The sequence below is a fragment of the Homo sapiens genome, chromosome 2, assembly GCF_000001405.40.
Source record: "Homo sapiens chromosome 2, GRCh38.p14 Primary Assembly".
NCBI lineage: Eukaryota > Metazoa > Chordata > Mammalia > Primates > Hominidae > Homo > Homo sapiens.
In genome coordinates this window covers 5,687,193-5,701,618 of record NC_000002.12, presented here as the reverse complement: position 1 = coordinate 5,701,618, position 14,426 = coordinate 5,687,193, and the positions used below count along the sequence as shown (strand labels likewise).

General features: G+C 47.4%; 1 protein-coding gene and 2 long non-coding RNA genes across 3 annotated transcripts in view, besides 2 other annotated features; 2 read left to right on the top strand and 1 right to left on the bottom strand.

Annotated features, from left to right (window-relative positions):
* On the bottom strand, positions 234 to 9,235 carry SOX11 (SRY-box transcription factor 11). The gene has a single exon (NM_003108.4). The coding sequence runs from the start codon at positions 8,895 to 8,897 to the stop codon at positions 7,572 to 7,574; it is 1,326 nt and encodes a 441-aa protein (NP_003099.1). The 5' UTR covers positions 8,898 to 9,235; the 3' UTR covers positions 234 to 7,571.
* Positions 4,463 to 4,632: a silencer, noted in NCBI's record as "silent region_11119". NCBI's record gives its function as "represses an Ori minimal core promoter by ATAC-STARR-seq in GM12878 lymphoblastoid cells {active_cell/tissue: GM12878}" and the evidence as "EXISTENCE:reporter gene assay evidence [ECO:0000049][PMID:35858748]".
* Positions 4,923 to 5,012: a silencer, noted in NCBI's record as "silent region_11118". NCBI's record gives its function as "represses an Ori minimal core promoter by ATAC-STARR-seq in GM12878 lymphoblastoid cells {active_cell/tissue: GM12878}" and the evidence as "EXISTENCE:reporter gene assay evidence [ECO:0000049][PMID:35858748]".
* Positions 10,501 to 14,426, top strand: part of LINC01248 (long intergenic non-protein coding RNA 1248) — a 56,978-nt gene continuing 53,052 nt past the window's right edge. The window contains exon 1 of the long non-coding RNA NR_110580.1: positions 10,501 to 10,644. This is a non-coding gene — a long non-coding RNA (long intergenic non-protein coding RNA 1248). The remainder of the gene's footprint in view (positions 10,645 to 14,426) is intronic.
* Positions 10,656 to 13,991, top strand: LOC124908052 (uncharacterized). Its single transcript, XR_007088653.1, has 2 exons — positions 10,656 to 12,542; positions 13,864 to 13,991. It is a non-coding gene; the product is annotated as an uncharacterized LOC124908052 (long non-coding RNA).

Genomic DNA, 14,426 nt, shown 5'->3' with positions numbered 1-14,426 from the left:
AATATATTGAGATGTAATCACCATGCTCATTCTCACTGTCAGCAGCTCTCCAACCTGCCCAGAAAACTCACTTTCCGTGGTCTTCCTCCTGCCGAGGCTGACAGCCGTGCTGGGTGCTGAGACATCAGGAATCTTCAAGCCTGTCCCTGACATCTGGTTTGAGACAACATTTTCAGAATTAAACAGCAGTTATCAAATGCAAAACTAGAAAAAAGTCACATAAAAACCACAAGTGAAGATTGATCACACAATTTTATTAGAGTCTTTTGAACAAATGTAATCCTCTGTGAAAAACTCTTGCAAAAGAGACATTGGAGTGTACTATTTTCAACCCTGAGCATTAACACTGCATACCAAGGGGGGGTGGGTCAAGAAGCTGGTTAGATCGAAGCACAAGCACAAGCCACTGATATTCTCTATGTGATCAGGTTTTTACAAAAAAATACATAGTTTTCAATAAATAATGCTTAATTTTACAACTTTGATACAGCAATGTCATACACCGTTTCAACACACTACACTCTGCATGCTAGATAGTCTACGAGAAGACGAAACTTTGCCATGCATTTTCTTTCCCCCCTAGTGCTATCAAACACTTCATCCTCCAGCGCACTGCCTCAGGTAGCTTTACCTTCTCTCTGTTTCACAGCAATAGGCCGTGCGCTGGCATGCAAACTCTAAAAAAGGTCCCCCCCACAAACCACTCAGACTTCTACACAAAAGGGTTTTTCAGCTTTTCTGCTCCCAAACCTGGAGTGGCTAAGAAAGTAAGTTTCATGTGGCCTTGGAAAATACACACTTGTTAACAGTGTCATGCTGAAAACTGCTCTAAAACATCAGGTGGTTCTGTCCTGGTGGCCGTCACGAAGCATTATGGGATGCCATAACCACTAGGAGTCCCAAACCGGAAAAAATAGGCCTCCGTTTTAAAACAGTCAATTCAAAAAAAGGTGTCACAGAACAAATGCAAAAGACTCTTAAACCCACAACATATGTACAAGAGTAAAAGTAGACAAAATGGGAAATTAATGAGAATGGAGTATAACGTTTCTCCCTATGTGATTCAAGGGAGGAGGCATACTGTTTTTGAACAAAAGCTGGATGAAGAAAAATGTGACAGAGGGCCCTTTGTCAATATCTATTTGATCAAAATTCTTTATATGATAAATTACTTCCAGTTGTCCTTTTTTTTTTTTTTGGAAGGGGAAATGTAACGTGTCTAAGAAAGTAAGACAAGCATCATATTAAAAAAATCTCTTCGAGGAGCCTAGAGGAAATCCTATTTTTTATGCATTTTTAAACTTTTTGTCATATTGCTTTATTTTTTCATTTTCACAGCAGAAAAAATCAAGTCTACGTGACTACATAAAAGAAGTTTGATCAAACAGTGAGACGGGAGCCTCCACATATGCACATCCAGGTTGCTTAAATTCACCAATTGCTCATTGGAAACCACATCTCAACTCGGTCATATTGCTTTTAGTGGTTTGTTTCTCTGTAGAGAAGTTCTCTGTTCACAACTGCAGGCAACCAAAAGTTCCCAAATCATTTAAAACAGTCCTATCTGTGCACTGGCAGAGGTGCTAGATCTTGTAAGAATATCTCTACCCAATAAAGTTATTACTTTTATACATGGAACATTATGAGCTTGTGTCTCCCTTTGTAAGCCGTTTTATACTTTCTGCACTTTTGTGCTTTTATTGAGTATAAAAATAGGTCTCCTTTAAAATTCTGTTTATTTTAAGTTCACTAAAAAACTACTTGTTTGTGAAATTCTCTTATAAACTCACTGCATCCACATGGAACAGATAAAACTAATTAGGCAGCTAATGGATATAGGTAGTGTTAAAAAAGTACAATGAAAAAAACGAAGGTATGGTAGGAATCAAGGAAAAAAAAAAAAAAAAAAGCCAGCAGTAAGTAAAATGGAAGAGAGCTCAGTTTCATAAATTTTGTTTCATCTTTATTGTGGTTGAAAATGTAGGCTCCACAGGAAGGGGCAAAAACCAAAACTGAACAAAAAAATCCTGAGTTGTTATCAAAGAGCAGAATTTTCCAGATCATTAAATAAAAGGGGATGTTGTAGAATAAATCAAATAGAATGAACAGTGAGAAATAACCAATAATAAAAATAAGCCAAATCTCAGAAAAGTATGTCAAGAGTTACATGGAGACGGTTACTTTGGGAACTTGTAAATCCCTGTGTTAGGATAGGTAAGGCTCATTCTTGTTATCCTCACAGGCTTAGGCTATACAAAGGGTATTTGAAACTGACATTCCTAATGGAAATTTTACAAAATTTGGCCCTTAGAATAACTGAGAAATATCCTGAAAAAATCTTCCCTGAAACTGTAATAAAGAAAGTTTCTTATCTACTGATAAAATTGACAACTCAGTAAACTATTTTCGCTGGTCTTCCTACATAAGAAAAAAGCACAAATATATTTGCCTCAGAAATCTGTTAAAAGCAGGGAACCACACAGTAAAAGAGTATAAAGATTCTATAAATGGGAGAGTCCAAGAAAACCTCTCTCAAAGTGTCCACAAGGATACATATGCCCATTAGAAGAAAAGTAAGAATATACATATTATTAATCATATCAGAGAATAAAAAAGTTAAGATTGATATAATATATTTATATTGAATGACTACTTTAAAATAGAGCAACTTATTTGCCTTATTTCTCAAATTCCTTGGGCAAAAGTCACTTAAATTCTGAAGTAAAAAACAAATGTAAATTTCTTGTACTGTACTAATATCAGATGATTATGATTTCAAGTCCCAGAAGAGAAAAATAAGTCTTGTCTTTTGAGTCTTTTTCTTTCATGAAAAAAGCAACTAAATCACCCTGACTGCTACATTTATGCATATTTAAATCACTTCCCCTTGATTAACATTAAAAAGAAACATCTCTGCCCAAAAGAGTTGTAATGATTTCTTTCTCTAGCTAAAGGATAATCATTCTACAAATAATTTGCCCAGTGTCTGTAGTCATTCATAACATACACAATATTTGCAAAGCACAGTTTAAGTACACTGCCTTTTATTAGCATTTTTTTTTTTTTTAAATAAAAGGGATGCGTATCAGAGTGTAAGAACTGGAAATTACTTCCACAGTTTAAAGAATTAATAAGAGAATGCTGGTTCAATTTCTTAAAGATGGAAAGCTTACCAAAATGCCATCAGAGTCTGTGAACTACTTATAATAAACAGCAGGATCCCCACTGGCTAGGCTGCCGTGCACACAGCACCCACCCGCCACCCCCAGGTTACCATTTTAAGATATTCTGTCAATGCTTAGTTAAAAATAAGACTTACTTAAGAGACCAACAAAAAAAAATCAATTAAACTTTTATTGAAGACTATCCAGTGGCAAGAATACCATGTGTATTATACTATGTTTTAGACACTCAATAAAGAATTCATTAAGATGATTCTCACAACGCACTCATCAAAACAGCCTTAAATATTGTTAAAAAGCGCATTGAAGCGCCTGTCCTGAGTTCTAACAGGTTTTAAATTTAGATTGCCAAACAATTACTTTTATTTTTGTATCAAGTTAGGCCACATGGCTTTAAAAAAAAAAAATCTTGACTATCTCTTCCCATTCTGAAGCCAAATTATTACTTTACTAATTTACTTAAAGTTTCCACCTCACCACAGAAAATGTCCAAGATTCATCTATGATTAAAACAGAAAAGACATGCCAAGTTTTCAGGCTTTCAAAATACATAGATCAGCCTATCAATGGGTTTACGTTGCCAACAAGTTTCGGAACTGCAGCAGAGGGCTGCCACATAAAATCACCAGCACGGAGCACGTGTCAATTGTAAACCGCTGGTTCAATTATCCGTGGCTAAAATAAATGTACCACCAATGGCTGCATTAGTCTACATGTTGAGGGGGTGTGGGGTAAGGTAAACAACTCCAGAAATCCAGTTCTATATTGAGAACCTGGTTAACGCCATCAGCCCCTTCTTTTCCCAAATGTACTACTGAAATCTGATGGTTTATCGAAAGGAAAAAGCCACAGAAAAGAAACCTGTCCATCTGCAGCAAAAGCTTGCTGGCTTCGCATCCCAGGGGTGGGGGCTGGGGAGGAGGCTCGCCCAGAGCGGGAGGCTGGGGGGCGGGTGAGAGGCCCGAGTTCTCAGTCGGGGGGCCGGGGGAGGGGTGGTGGTAAGATCGAGTAAGGCAAAAGCAAGCGGGAGGGGAGGCGGGAAGGGCGCCGGGGCCCCTCTGGCCTAGCAGCTGCAGTTACTGTGCGGACGCTTCCATTCGGTCTCGCCAAATCTCAGTAAAAATGGAAGGCCAAACCTCGGTCAATCATCTCAGTAGGTGAAAGAGTCGTGGTGATTTTGCAGTGAGTTTCAATCAGCCACTGAAAACCTCCTCCGCTGCGGGCGCCGCAGCTCGGGAGGCTGAACTCCGGGGCTGGCACGCTGGGCCCCGAGCGGCCTCCCAGCCTCCCTCCTCCCAGACCCAGCAGAAAAGAGGCGGCGGATGCTCGGAAGGGGGGCGGGAGCCCGGGGCGCGCGTGCCCGGCCGCGATCGCCTGCTCGGGCCTGCCGCGAGGGCTCGGGGACACAGGCCGGTCAGGAAAAATGGTGGGGAGCGAGGGGGTGTGGACAGGCAAACGGGGTTCAGCGAGCGGGGAGCGCCAGCGGGATGGGTCGCGCCCGCGCCGCCGCCGGAGCCCCCAGGAGGCTCCCGGAGAACAATCAAGATGCGGATCCACCTTCGTTGCGGCGGCCCCGGGGAGCTGATTCCGGGGCAGCCCCTGAGCCGGCGCGCGGGGAGGGCGTGGTGAGGGCCCGGGGTGCGCGGGTGCGGCAGCCGCCTGCTCCCCGGGTTTGCTTTCTTCCTCTCACCCCGCAGCCCCGAGGCTTCCCTCCCCGGCCCGCGGGCCCGGGAAGCCAGCGCTGGTGTCTCCGCGCGCCTCAAGGGCCCGCGGCGGGGCGCGCCCAGGAGCACGCGGTGGCGAGGCAAGAAGAGCCAGGCACGGGGACCCGGAGCGTCAGGGCTCTGCCTTGCGCGTCCCGGACTACCGCCCGGGTGCCCTCTGCCACCCCCTGCTCCCCACGCCCTCACCAGTGGTTCGGCCCTCCCAGGCACCCCGGAGACCGCGACTCGGATCGCACAGAGGCCATGCCATGTTCCTCGGGGTGCCCTCGGCCGGCCTGCCGCGTCTTCCCCCGACTCCCGCCTCCCTCCCGCTCGTAGCCTGGGTCCCGCCGCGCCCCGCGCCCCCTGCGGCCCCGCACCGTCCTCCTTCCCTCCGACAGCTCCACGGCCCCGGGGGACAGAAGGAAACAGACACCGACCACTTCTCTCCTTTCCTCTTCCCCTTCCCCCTTCACCGCTAGAGGTCAAACACTGCGGCGGCGTTCTCCGCCAACAACCACCTCTGAGCACACGCGAAGATGCAGCGTTAAAAATAAAGAACAGAAAAAATTCAAATCTGGAAACGGCTGTCCCCACCCTTTGAGAGGCGGGGATAGAAGTGCCCCGAGCGCTCGCTGCCAAAGGCGGCTGTCACCGCGAGGCTCAGCGGGGACGCGGCCCGCCGCAGAGAACACACAAGCCCCAGCGAGCAGGACCCCGACCAAGGGAGCTGGCAACCCAGGCCCCTCCATCCGCCCCTCCCCGGCCAGCTCCCGAGCCTCCGCGCAGCCCGCCCGCCAGGATGGGTGGGGAGAAGAGGCAGGGAGTGGAGGAGGAGGTGAGAAAGGAAATGGGGAGCTGGAGATGGAAAGGGAGGGCAGAGAGAAAGAACACCCTTCCCCTGTCTTTCACAACTAGCGGAAGAGGAAAAAGAAATCAGCCTGCTAATTGAACACTTTTCAGCCTAACCCCCTAAATGTAGAATTCTCTCCTGCCACCTCCCCTCATCCGCGCACACAACAGCCTCACCACCGAATGCTCTGCGACAACAGGACCTCCAGTTTGACTTCCATAGAGACTATTGGCGATGCGAGTTTCTATCAGTTCCAGCTGATTTATTAAAATTGTCAAGATACAGACTTCCAGCACAAAAAAAAAAAAAAAAAAACAGGCAATGATGTCGACAGTGCATTGAGTCTGCTTTGCCACCATTTGCTACAAAATATGCAGATGGTCTGTACTTTATTTAGATTATATTGCACAAAATGAGAAACTTTTTAAACTATGTGCCTTTTTTTTTTCTTTTTTGCTAAAAATCGAGAATCCAGTTTCAAACCTTCCATCTGGGGCCCCATCCACATCACAGCGTATGAGATACATAAAGTCCTACTATAGTACAGTACATATACAATCTTTAAACTAAGATAACAGCTCTGAGGTCTATATCACCATTTTCAATAAATCTTTACCTACAAATATTGAACAAATCTCTACTATAGCTGTACAAAAAAAAGTTTGCTTTTTTTTTTTAAACCACAAGGCCTTTAGATGCAAGGATTATTTTAAAATTTTAATCCTTTTTAAACCAGGACATAACGTACCAACATACTTGCATGCTAAAAAACAGAGGAAAAAAAAGAAATCAAAAGGGAAGAAGTGCCTGAAAGTCTTACTGAAAAAACACAGCAAGAATGTTCCCTTTTCACTGTACAAAAATACGCCTGAAAATATATTAATTTTTAAAAAAGACTGAGGTCTGTTATGTATCAAAAATGTTTCAATACCTTTTGTACTGAGGTCTAGGCTGTCTGGTATTCAATCAAGGAGGTATAAGGGAACAAGTTACAAAAAAAAAGTTGGCAAGTAGAAATCACATTTGTAAAACCATAAACAATTTGATCTGAAAAGTAAACTCTGATCTTAAGTCAGTTCACAGTTTTTTTTTTTGTAAGCGTTTGTACAGTCTGCATTTTTTCAAGCTCCCTGCAGTTTTGTTAAGAATCGGATGCATAGAAGACATCAGTTTTCTCCCTCCAAAAAAAAAAAAAAAAAAAAAAAAAAAAAAAATTAAATTAACAAAAGTTGCAATGGTCCCTTTTTTTGTTAAAAAAAAATCACCAGTTCTTTAAGTTCTCTTAAGAAAAAAAAATATCTCCACCAACTCCCTAGAGTAACAGTTGTGCTGCCAAAAGGGTCCTCTGCAGACGTCTTCCAGACTTCAAAGACCGACAAGCTTCAAACAGCGCCTTCCGGAGCGGGTCCTACCTCCCCTCCCCCGCCCCGCCCCCTCTGCCTTTGTTGCAATCACGAATTTCAGGAAAAAGAAATAGTAATTACAAAAACACATTTTTTGGGAAAATAATCACAACTCCAGACTAGGTATGCAACTACCTTGAGACACGATAAAGGAAGGGAGGGGGGACAAAAAAAGGACAGGAAAAATGTTTAAAAACTACTCATTTCACTTTAACTCCACCAAAATTTTCATCATGTTTTCCAATTTCTTTGCGTCACGACATCTTATCAATATCATCAGCATCTTCTTCTCTCCCCTCCACCCTACCACCGCCACCATCAACACCACCATCATCATCATCATTATCATCATCATCATCACCACTACAACTTCCTCCCAAGGAACCCAGCTCTGCACCCTCCGAGAGAAAGAGCGAGCAGCGGGCGCCTTTCAATATGTGAACACCAGGTCGGAGAAGTTCGCCTCCAGCCAGTCCCCCGCGATCATCTCGCTCAGCTCCGGCGTGCAGTAGTCGGGGAACTCGAAGTGGGAGCCCAGGCTGCCCTCGCTGAACGAATCCAAATCCTTATCCACCAGCGACAGGGACAGGTTCCCGGCCGCCGCGCCGCCCCCCAGCTGCTGCTCGCTGGCGCTGTGCGCGCTTTGAGAGAAATTCAAGCTCAGGTCGAACATCAGGTCGTCGGCGTCCTCGCCGCTGCTGCCGCTGCTGCTGCCGCTGCTGCTGGACGAGGAGGTGGACACCGAGCGCGAGGACGCGGGCGACAGCGCGGGCTGCGCGAGCGGCGGCGGGTGCTGCTTGGTGATGTTCTTGAAGCTGTAGTAGAGGCGGCTGCCGCCCCCGGCGCCCGAGGTCGCGCCGGCCCGCACCTCGTCGTAGAGGCTCGCTCCCTCGGGGGACTCCGCCGAGCTGCTCAGCGTAGGGCTGGCGGGCACTTTGGCGACGTTGTAGCGTCTCAGCAGCTGCGACGGCTGCTGCCCCGGCGGCTGCAGGAGCTGCTGGTGCGGTGGTTCCTCGTCCTCCTCGTCCGGCTCCTGTTTGATCTGCAGCTGCAGCTCGTCGTCGTCGTCGTCGTCGTCGTCGTCCTCATCCAGAAACACGCACTTGACCGTCTTGCCCGCGCCGCCGCCGCCCGAGCCGCTCACGCGCAGGCTGCCCAGCACGTAGTCGTCGCCCGCGCCCCCGTAGTCCCCGGACTGGGCCGCCTTGCCCGCGCCCGCCTTGGCGCCCGCGGCCGCGGGGGCCTTGAGCTTGCCGCATTTCTTGCTGGAGCCCTTGGAGGTCTTGGCACCGCCCGCGCCTCCGCCCGCGCTCCCGCCGCCGCCGCCGGCCGCGCTCTTCTCTGGGCTCTGGCTGGCGCTGGGCTTGGCCGAGGGGTCCATTTTGGGCTTTTTCCGGGGCCGGTACTTGTAGTCGGGGTAGTCGGCCATGTGCTTGAGCCGCAGCCGCTCCGCCTCCCGGATGAACGGGATCTTCTCGCTGTCCTTCAGCATTTTCCAGCGCTTGCCCAGCCTCTTGGAGATCTCGGCGTTGTGCATGTCCGGAGACTGCTCCATGATCTTCCTGCGTTCGATCTTGGACCATACCATGAACGCGTTCATCGGCCGCTTGATGTGGCCCGACGCCGTCTTGCACCAGTCTGGGTCGCTCTCGTCCAGGGCCACCGGGCTGCAAGCCATGAATTCGCCCTCCTCCGTGTCCAGCGCCTCCCGGGGCAGGTTGCTCTCCGCTTCCAAGCTCTCCGCCTGCTGCACCATGATCCGCTGCAGGGCTGGACGCTCCAACCCGGGCCGCTGGGTCTCGTGCGGAGGTCCCCCTCCCCCTCCCACCCCTCCACCTTCCTGGGCAAGTTGCAAAGTCCTCGGCACCCCGCTTTCGCGGCTCCCCCCCTCCCCCCCGCCCCCCCTTCCAGGCTGCACACAGCGGCTGTGGTGGCTTCGGCGACGACGGCCGCCGGCGCGGTGGGAGCTGCGGTCGCGACAGGAGAGGCGGTGGCGACGGCGGTCGAGGCAGCCCGGGACCCCTCTCTCCGGCTCGTGGCTCCTACCGCAAGCGCCGGACCCCGAGCTCTCCCAGGCGCGCGCGCTCCTTCTGCAAAAAGTTGAGGTCTCTCTCTCAACTAGTTATCAGGGTGTCATATGGGTGACATCACTCCCCCAGCTAGCCAATGGCTGGGGGCCGGCTCCGCCCATCTTCCTTTATTAACTCGGAGGCCCCGCCCCTCCACCCCGCCCTCCGGGCTGCTTTGCAAAGATGGGGGTGGGGGGAGAGGAGGCATGTCTAGAAATATGTTATTTTTAAAAAATCCGCGTGTGTGCACAGATGCGCCTGTTCCCGGGATGCTCGGAAGCGGCGCGCGGCACCACGGGGAGCGGGCGGCCCGGGGCGAACCGGGATGGTTCGGGCGCCGGCGCTAACCGAGGACCGGGTCCCGGGAGAGGCCCCGCGCGCCTTTGTGCCCAGTCCCCGGGAGGCCCGACGGCGACAGCGGACGGCGCGCGCTCACTCCCCGGGTGCACACACTCGGGCACGCGCCCAGCCTGAGACGGCGGCCTCCGCCCGGCTCGCGGTCAGCCGCGCCCGGCCTGCCCCGGGGTGGGCGCAGCTGCTCCCCGGCGAGCCCCTCGCGGGGCTCGGCCGCTCCCCCGGGTCGCCGCCCCGAGCCCGCCCGGTAGCCCCGCGGCGGCCCTGGCCGACGGAAGGTGGCGCTTGAAGACAGCAACCTTCCCGGCACGTGGGCTCTGCTCTCCTTTTCCCTTTCTCCCTTTTTGTAAGGCAAAGAAATCAATTTAAAGCTCGAGAGGCGGTGAGCTCCCTCCCCCGTTTTGCATTTTTCTGTTTTGTCCTTTTTCTCCGTCTGTTTTCCCTCCTCGGTGGTGTTTGGGGACGCGGCTGTGCGGGTTGGGCTGCGCCGCGCCCCCGCGCGCCCCGCCCCGGGCGGGGGCCGGAGTAACGGTCTGCGGGGCCCTCGGGTTCAAGCTGGCCACTCCCAGGGCTGGCTCCGGAGCGGGCTCTGGGTCCCGCAGGCTCCAGCAAGCCCGCGCCCCGCCCGGCGTCCCTGCGAGGGGCCCGGCGCCCTCCTTCCCTTCTCCCTCTGCTCCCCGCCCCTCCTCTCCCCGCCCCGTCCTCTCCCCGCCCCTCCGCCGCTCCTTTCTCCTTCCCAGGCCTCCTCTTCCTCTTTGTCCTTCCCCCATCCTCGGTCGCCAGCGCTTCTCCGGCAGCCTCGTCCTGAAATCGTGCGATTGTGAGCTAGAAGCCTTCTGGGTCACTCATAAACCAAAGAGAAAATAAGGTGCACTCGAGTTTCCCGTCTAAATATTTTCCCTGGAGATGGAAAGGTGCGCTGGCGGCCGGGGAGCCGCGACCTGGGGCGCGCTGGGCCTCGCAGAGCAGCCGCGGACCCCGGCGATCGTGCCGTGTTCGTCTCCTTTGTGTTTCTTTATTGAGTCCCTACTACCTCTACGGATATTCTGGGGGCAATTAAAGAAAATCACCGCTTCATAGGTATGGTCTGTCGCCACCCTCGCCTTCTCCACACCCCCCAGCACTGGGTATCTGGGAACTTTGAGCAGTTCCTAAGACACTGCCCGGATCCCTTCACCAGAGAAATCAGCCGTGTAGGACTGGGAAAATTATCCGAATCTGCTTCCTTTCAGGTGCCCTCCTGCAATTAATACTACATTTCTTAAGTATTGGATCTTCTCTGAGGATTCTAATATCATAAAATAATACCGTGTTTTACACAGATCATGATTTGAAAAAATTACCGCCATTGCGATAAGCCATTCCCGCCCCCGTCCCCCACTTCCCCGACTCATCCTAAAGAAAAACACTGCATCGAATACTTGGAATATTCAGACCAACTTAAATCTTGATAATGCTGGCAATTTATTCTTTCCAGGGCCATAGGAACCAAAAGAATTTACAGTCATTCATACTGGGTGACTTAAAGTCTGGAGATGTATAAAATCCAAGGCAGTGTGTGAAAACTCATCTTCACTCCCGCACGGCGAGCACTAGGTCTTGTTTTTCTCTTACAGCTCACACGTTTTTCAGCTATTGGGAACACCACCGGAGGGAGGGTGGGGTGGAGCACAAGGTGAACCTACACCCACCTCCCCACAACTGCAGGACAAATCCACACTCTAGAGAAAAGGATTGAAATATTTCAGCTCAGCTTCATTATTTGCTTGCAAAGTGTGAGGGCACCTACCATTTGGGCCTCGGAAAGAGAATGCATTTGAAAATCTTTGGCAAATTCCATATTGATTTGCTATCTTTACGCTATAGCAAAAATCATGCTTAGCTTTAAAATGAGAATGATCTGAATATAGTAGGAGTGAAAAATAATAGATTTTATTCTCATAGCGCTGCGATCTTTTTAGAGGAAATAAAAGTTAAAATCTGCTCTTTCGAACAAGAAATATAATTTCTGTTCAAGGCAACATGAGCCGTTTGTTGGAGAAGATAAAGCAAAGATTGGGATTGCTAAAGCAGGCACTGAAGGCGGCACAGGCGGGTGCTACAGCTGAATCCCCCCTGTCATGTAGGAGAGGCCAGGCAATTTTCACAAGAGATTAACTAGATTGCTATTTTGTAGCATGGACTCACCCCACATACTTAATGTTGTTAGACGTAGTCGAGTGAGGAATGAAAAAAATGATAATCTGTATACTTTATTTTTGCTCCCTAAGGGAAAATTTTTAAATAAGTATAGCATTTAAAAAAAAATATGGGAACATGTTTGAGAGTACGCATGCTTCTTACAGGAATAATAGTTACTTCTGAAAACAGATGTTTGCGCCATTAACAGTAACCAACTATTTAGAGAAATTTTAGGCTACCAAATAGAAAATATAGCCTTTAATAATGCACCTCTTGAAAACCTAATTTAGTAAAATGGAAATAGGTCTACTGTTTTTTAAGCCACTGAATGTATATCATAATTAGGATCATTGGTTATCTTTTTAGAGCCAATATTCACTCATTTTTGTGTGTGTCTGTCTATATACTTATTTATAAGCAAGATATGTAGTTTGTTTGTTAACCATAAACATTGTTGGATACATAATGTTCAGAATCTTAAGAGTCACATCTGATTAGAGGCACAAATGACTATTTTTATGGTGATTTTTACCTTTTCATAATTCCATCTTTACAAAGAAAATGTCACGTAAAAGGACTATTACATAAAGAGATGAGATATTTCACGATATCTCTCAAAATTATAACACAGCCAGAGTAAGAAGTGTCCCTTTTTCTTAGGAAAGAAGCATTTTTCTAAGCAAATAATATGCTAAAAATATCACTGGGTAAATATTTGACTTATCTGATGGATTGACCACCATTTTTAGAAGTATTGCAACCACATGCATTCCCCATCTCTGAAATGAAGTTATAAGGTAGGATCCTTTCCTTTTTTCTCCCTTTACCTATTCTCCTGAAATGAGTTCACTCCTTATTGTTAGCTGTATCTATTTATCTCAGCTTCAGCCTTAAATCTTGAATTTGGATCTGGTTATATTCTGTCTACTGGACATTCCTTCTTATTCCTTCTTAAGTGTTCCTCAGACCTGGTAATGAGTATAGATCGAACAATCCTACCTTGAAAACACACACACACACACACACACACACACACACAATGAACCAGTGGATGCTGTTACCCTGTTTGGCTCATCAGAACATGTTTCAATAGCTAAAATAATGTTGTTAAGCTTTTCACTCATTTATTCTCTGAATTGACCACTGCAGAGTGTGATCCATGAAAGCCAGAGCAGTTGGGCAGTACAGCACAGGGCAGCGGCTTGGAAATTTATTTTGATCATGACCTATTTTATAAAACACCTTTTTACATCATGACCCAGTACTCATGCTATACACATATAAAGCAGAAACCAAAGCGTCAAAAATCAGTATCTCTCTTTTATGTGCAATTCATACTCTTTTTTATTCTATTCCATTCCATTCCATTTCTGTAAATGCTAGTTAAAACCCACTATTAATGAGGCACCACTGAAGTTTGAAAAACACTGGCTTAGGTGTTCAGAGTTACGGCTCAGAAGCGTTCTGCCCTGGATTGAAAATTCTGGTTCCACTATCTTTTCTTTTTCCCGCGTGGCTCTCATCATGGAGCGCTTGACTTTTAGTTATCAATGCCCAGATAATTCCACAAACGTACTGCCTCCAAAATTCACGTCTTTTGAAATTATTCATATGAGATATGTATTCTATTTTTTTAAATAGACTTTATTTTCTAGAGCAGTTTGAGGTTCACAGCAAACATGAATGGAAAATGCAGAGCCTTCCACATAGTGTCTATCCCCACACATACACAACCACCCCCACTCGGTGGTACATGTGTTACGATCAGTGCATCCACAATGACACATCATAATCATCCAACATGCGTAGTCCACATTAGGCTCACTCTTGGTGTTGTACATTCTGTGGATTTGGATAAATGTATAATGGCAGGTATCCATCATTATAGTGTCATGCAGATTATTTTCATGGCCCTAATCATCTGGCCTCCACCCACCTATTCATCCTTCACCCCTCCAAGCCCTTGGCAACAACTGATTATTTTACTATGGCAATAGTTTTGCCTTTTCCAGAATGTCAAATATATGGAATCATACAGTATGTAGCTTTTTCAGATTGGCTTCCTTAACTTAACAATATGCATTTTATGTTCTTCCATGTCTTTTTATGACTTCATAGCTCATTTCTTTTTGGCAATACATAACATTCCATTGTCTGAGTATACCACAGTTTATCCATCCTCCTACAGAAGGACATCATGGCTGCTTCCATGTTTTGGCAATGATGAATAAAATCTGTTACAAGCATCCTTGTGCAGCTTTGTGTGTAGATGTAAGTGTTCAACTTGCTTGGGTAAATATCAAAGAGTGATACTGCTCTATCGTGTGGTAAGAGGTTGTATAATTTCATAAGAAACTTTCAAACTGTCTTCCAAAGTGGCTGTCCCATTTTGCATTCCCAACAGCAACGAATGAGAGTTTCTACTATTCTACATCTTCGTCAGAATTTGCTGTTGTCACTATTTTAGATTGTAGCCATTCTACTCGGTCTGAAGTGCTATCTCATTTTTGTTGTAATTTACATTTCCCTAGGCATATGAGATGGACTGTCTTTCCAAATATTTACTTGCCCTCAGTATATCTTCTTTAGTGATATATCTCTTCAGGTTTTTGGCCCATTTTTTTTAAATCAGGTTTTTCATGTGCTTATTGTGAAGCTTTAAGACTTCTTTGTATATTTTG

Coding starts and splice junctions, on each gene's coding strand:
- SOX11 (NM_003108.4), bottom strand. CDS start 8,897: ATGGTGCAGCAGGCGGAGAGCTTGGAAGCGGAGAGCAACCTGCCCCGG.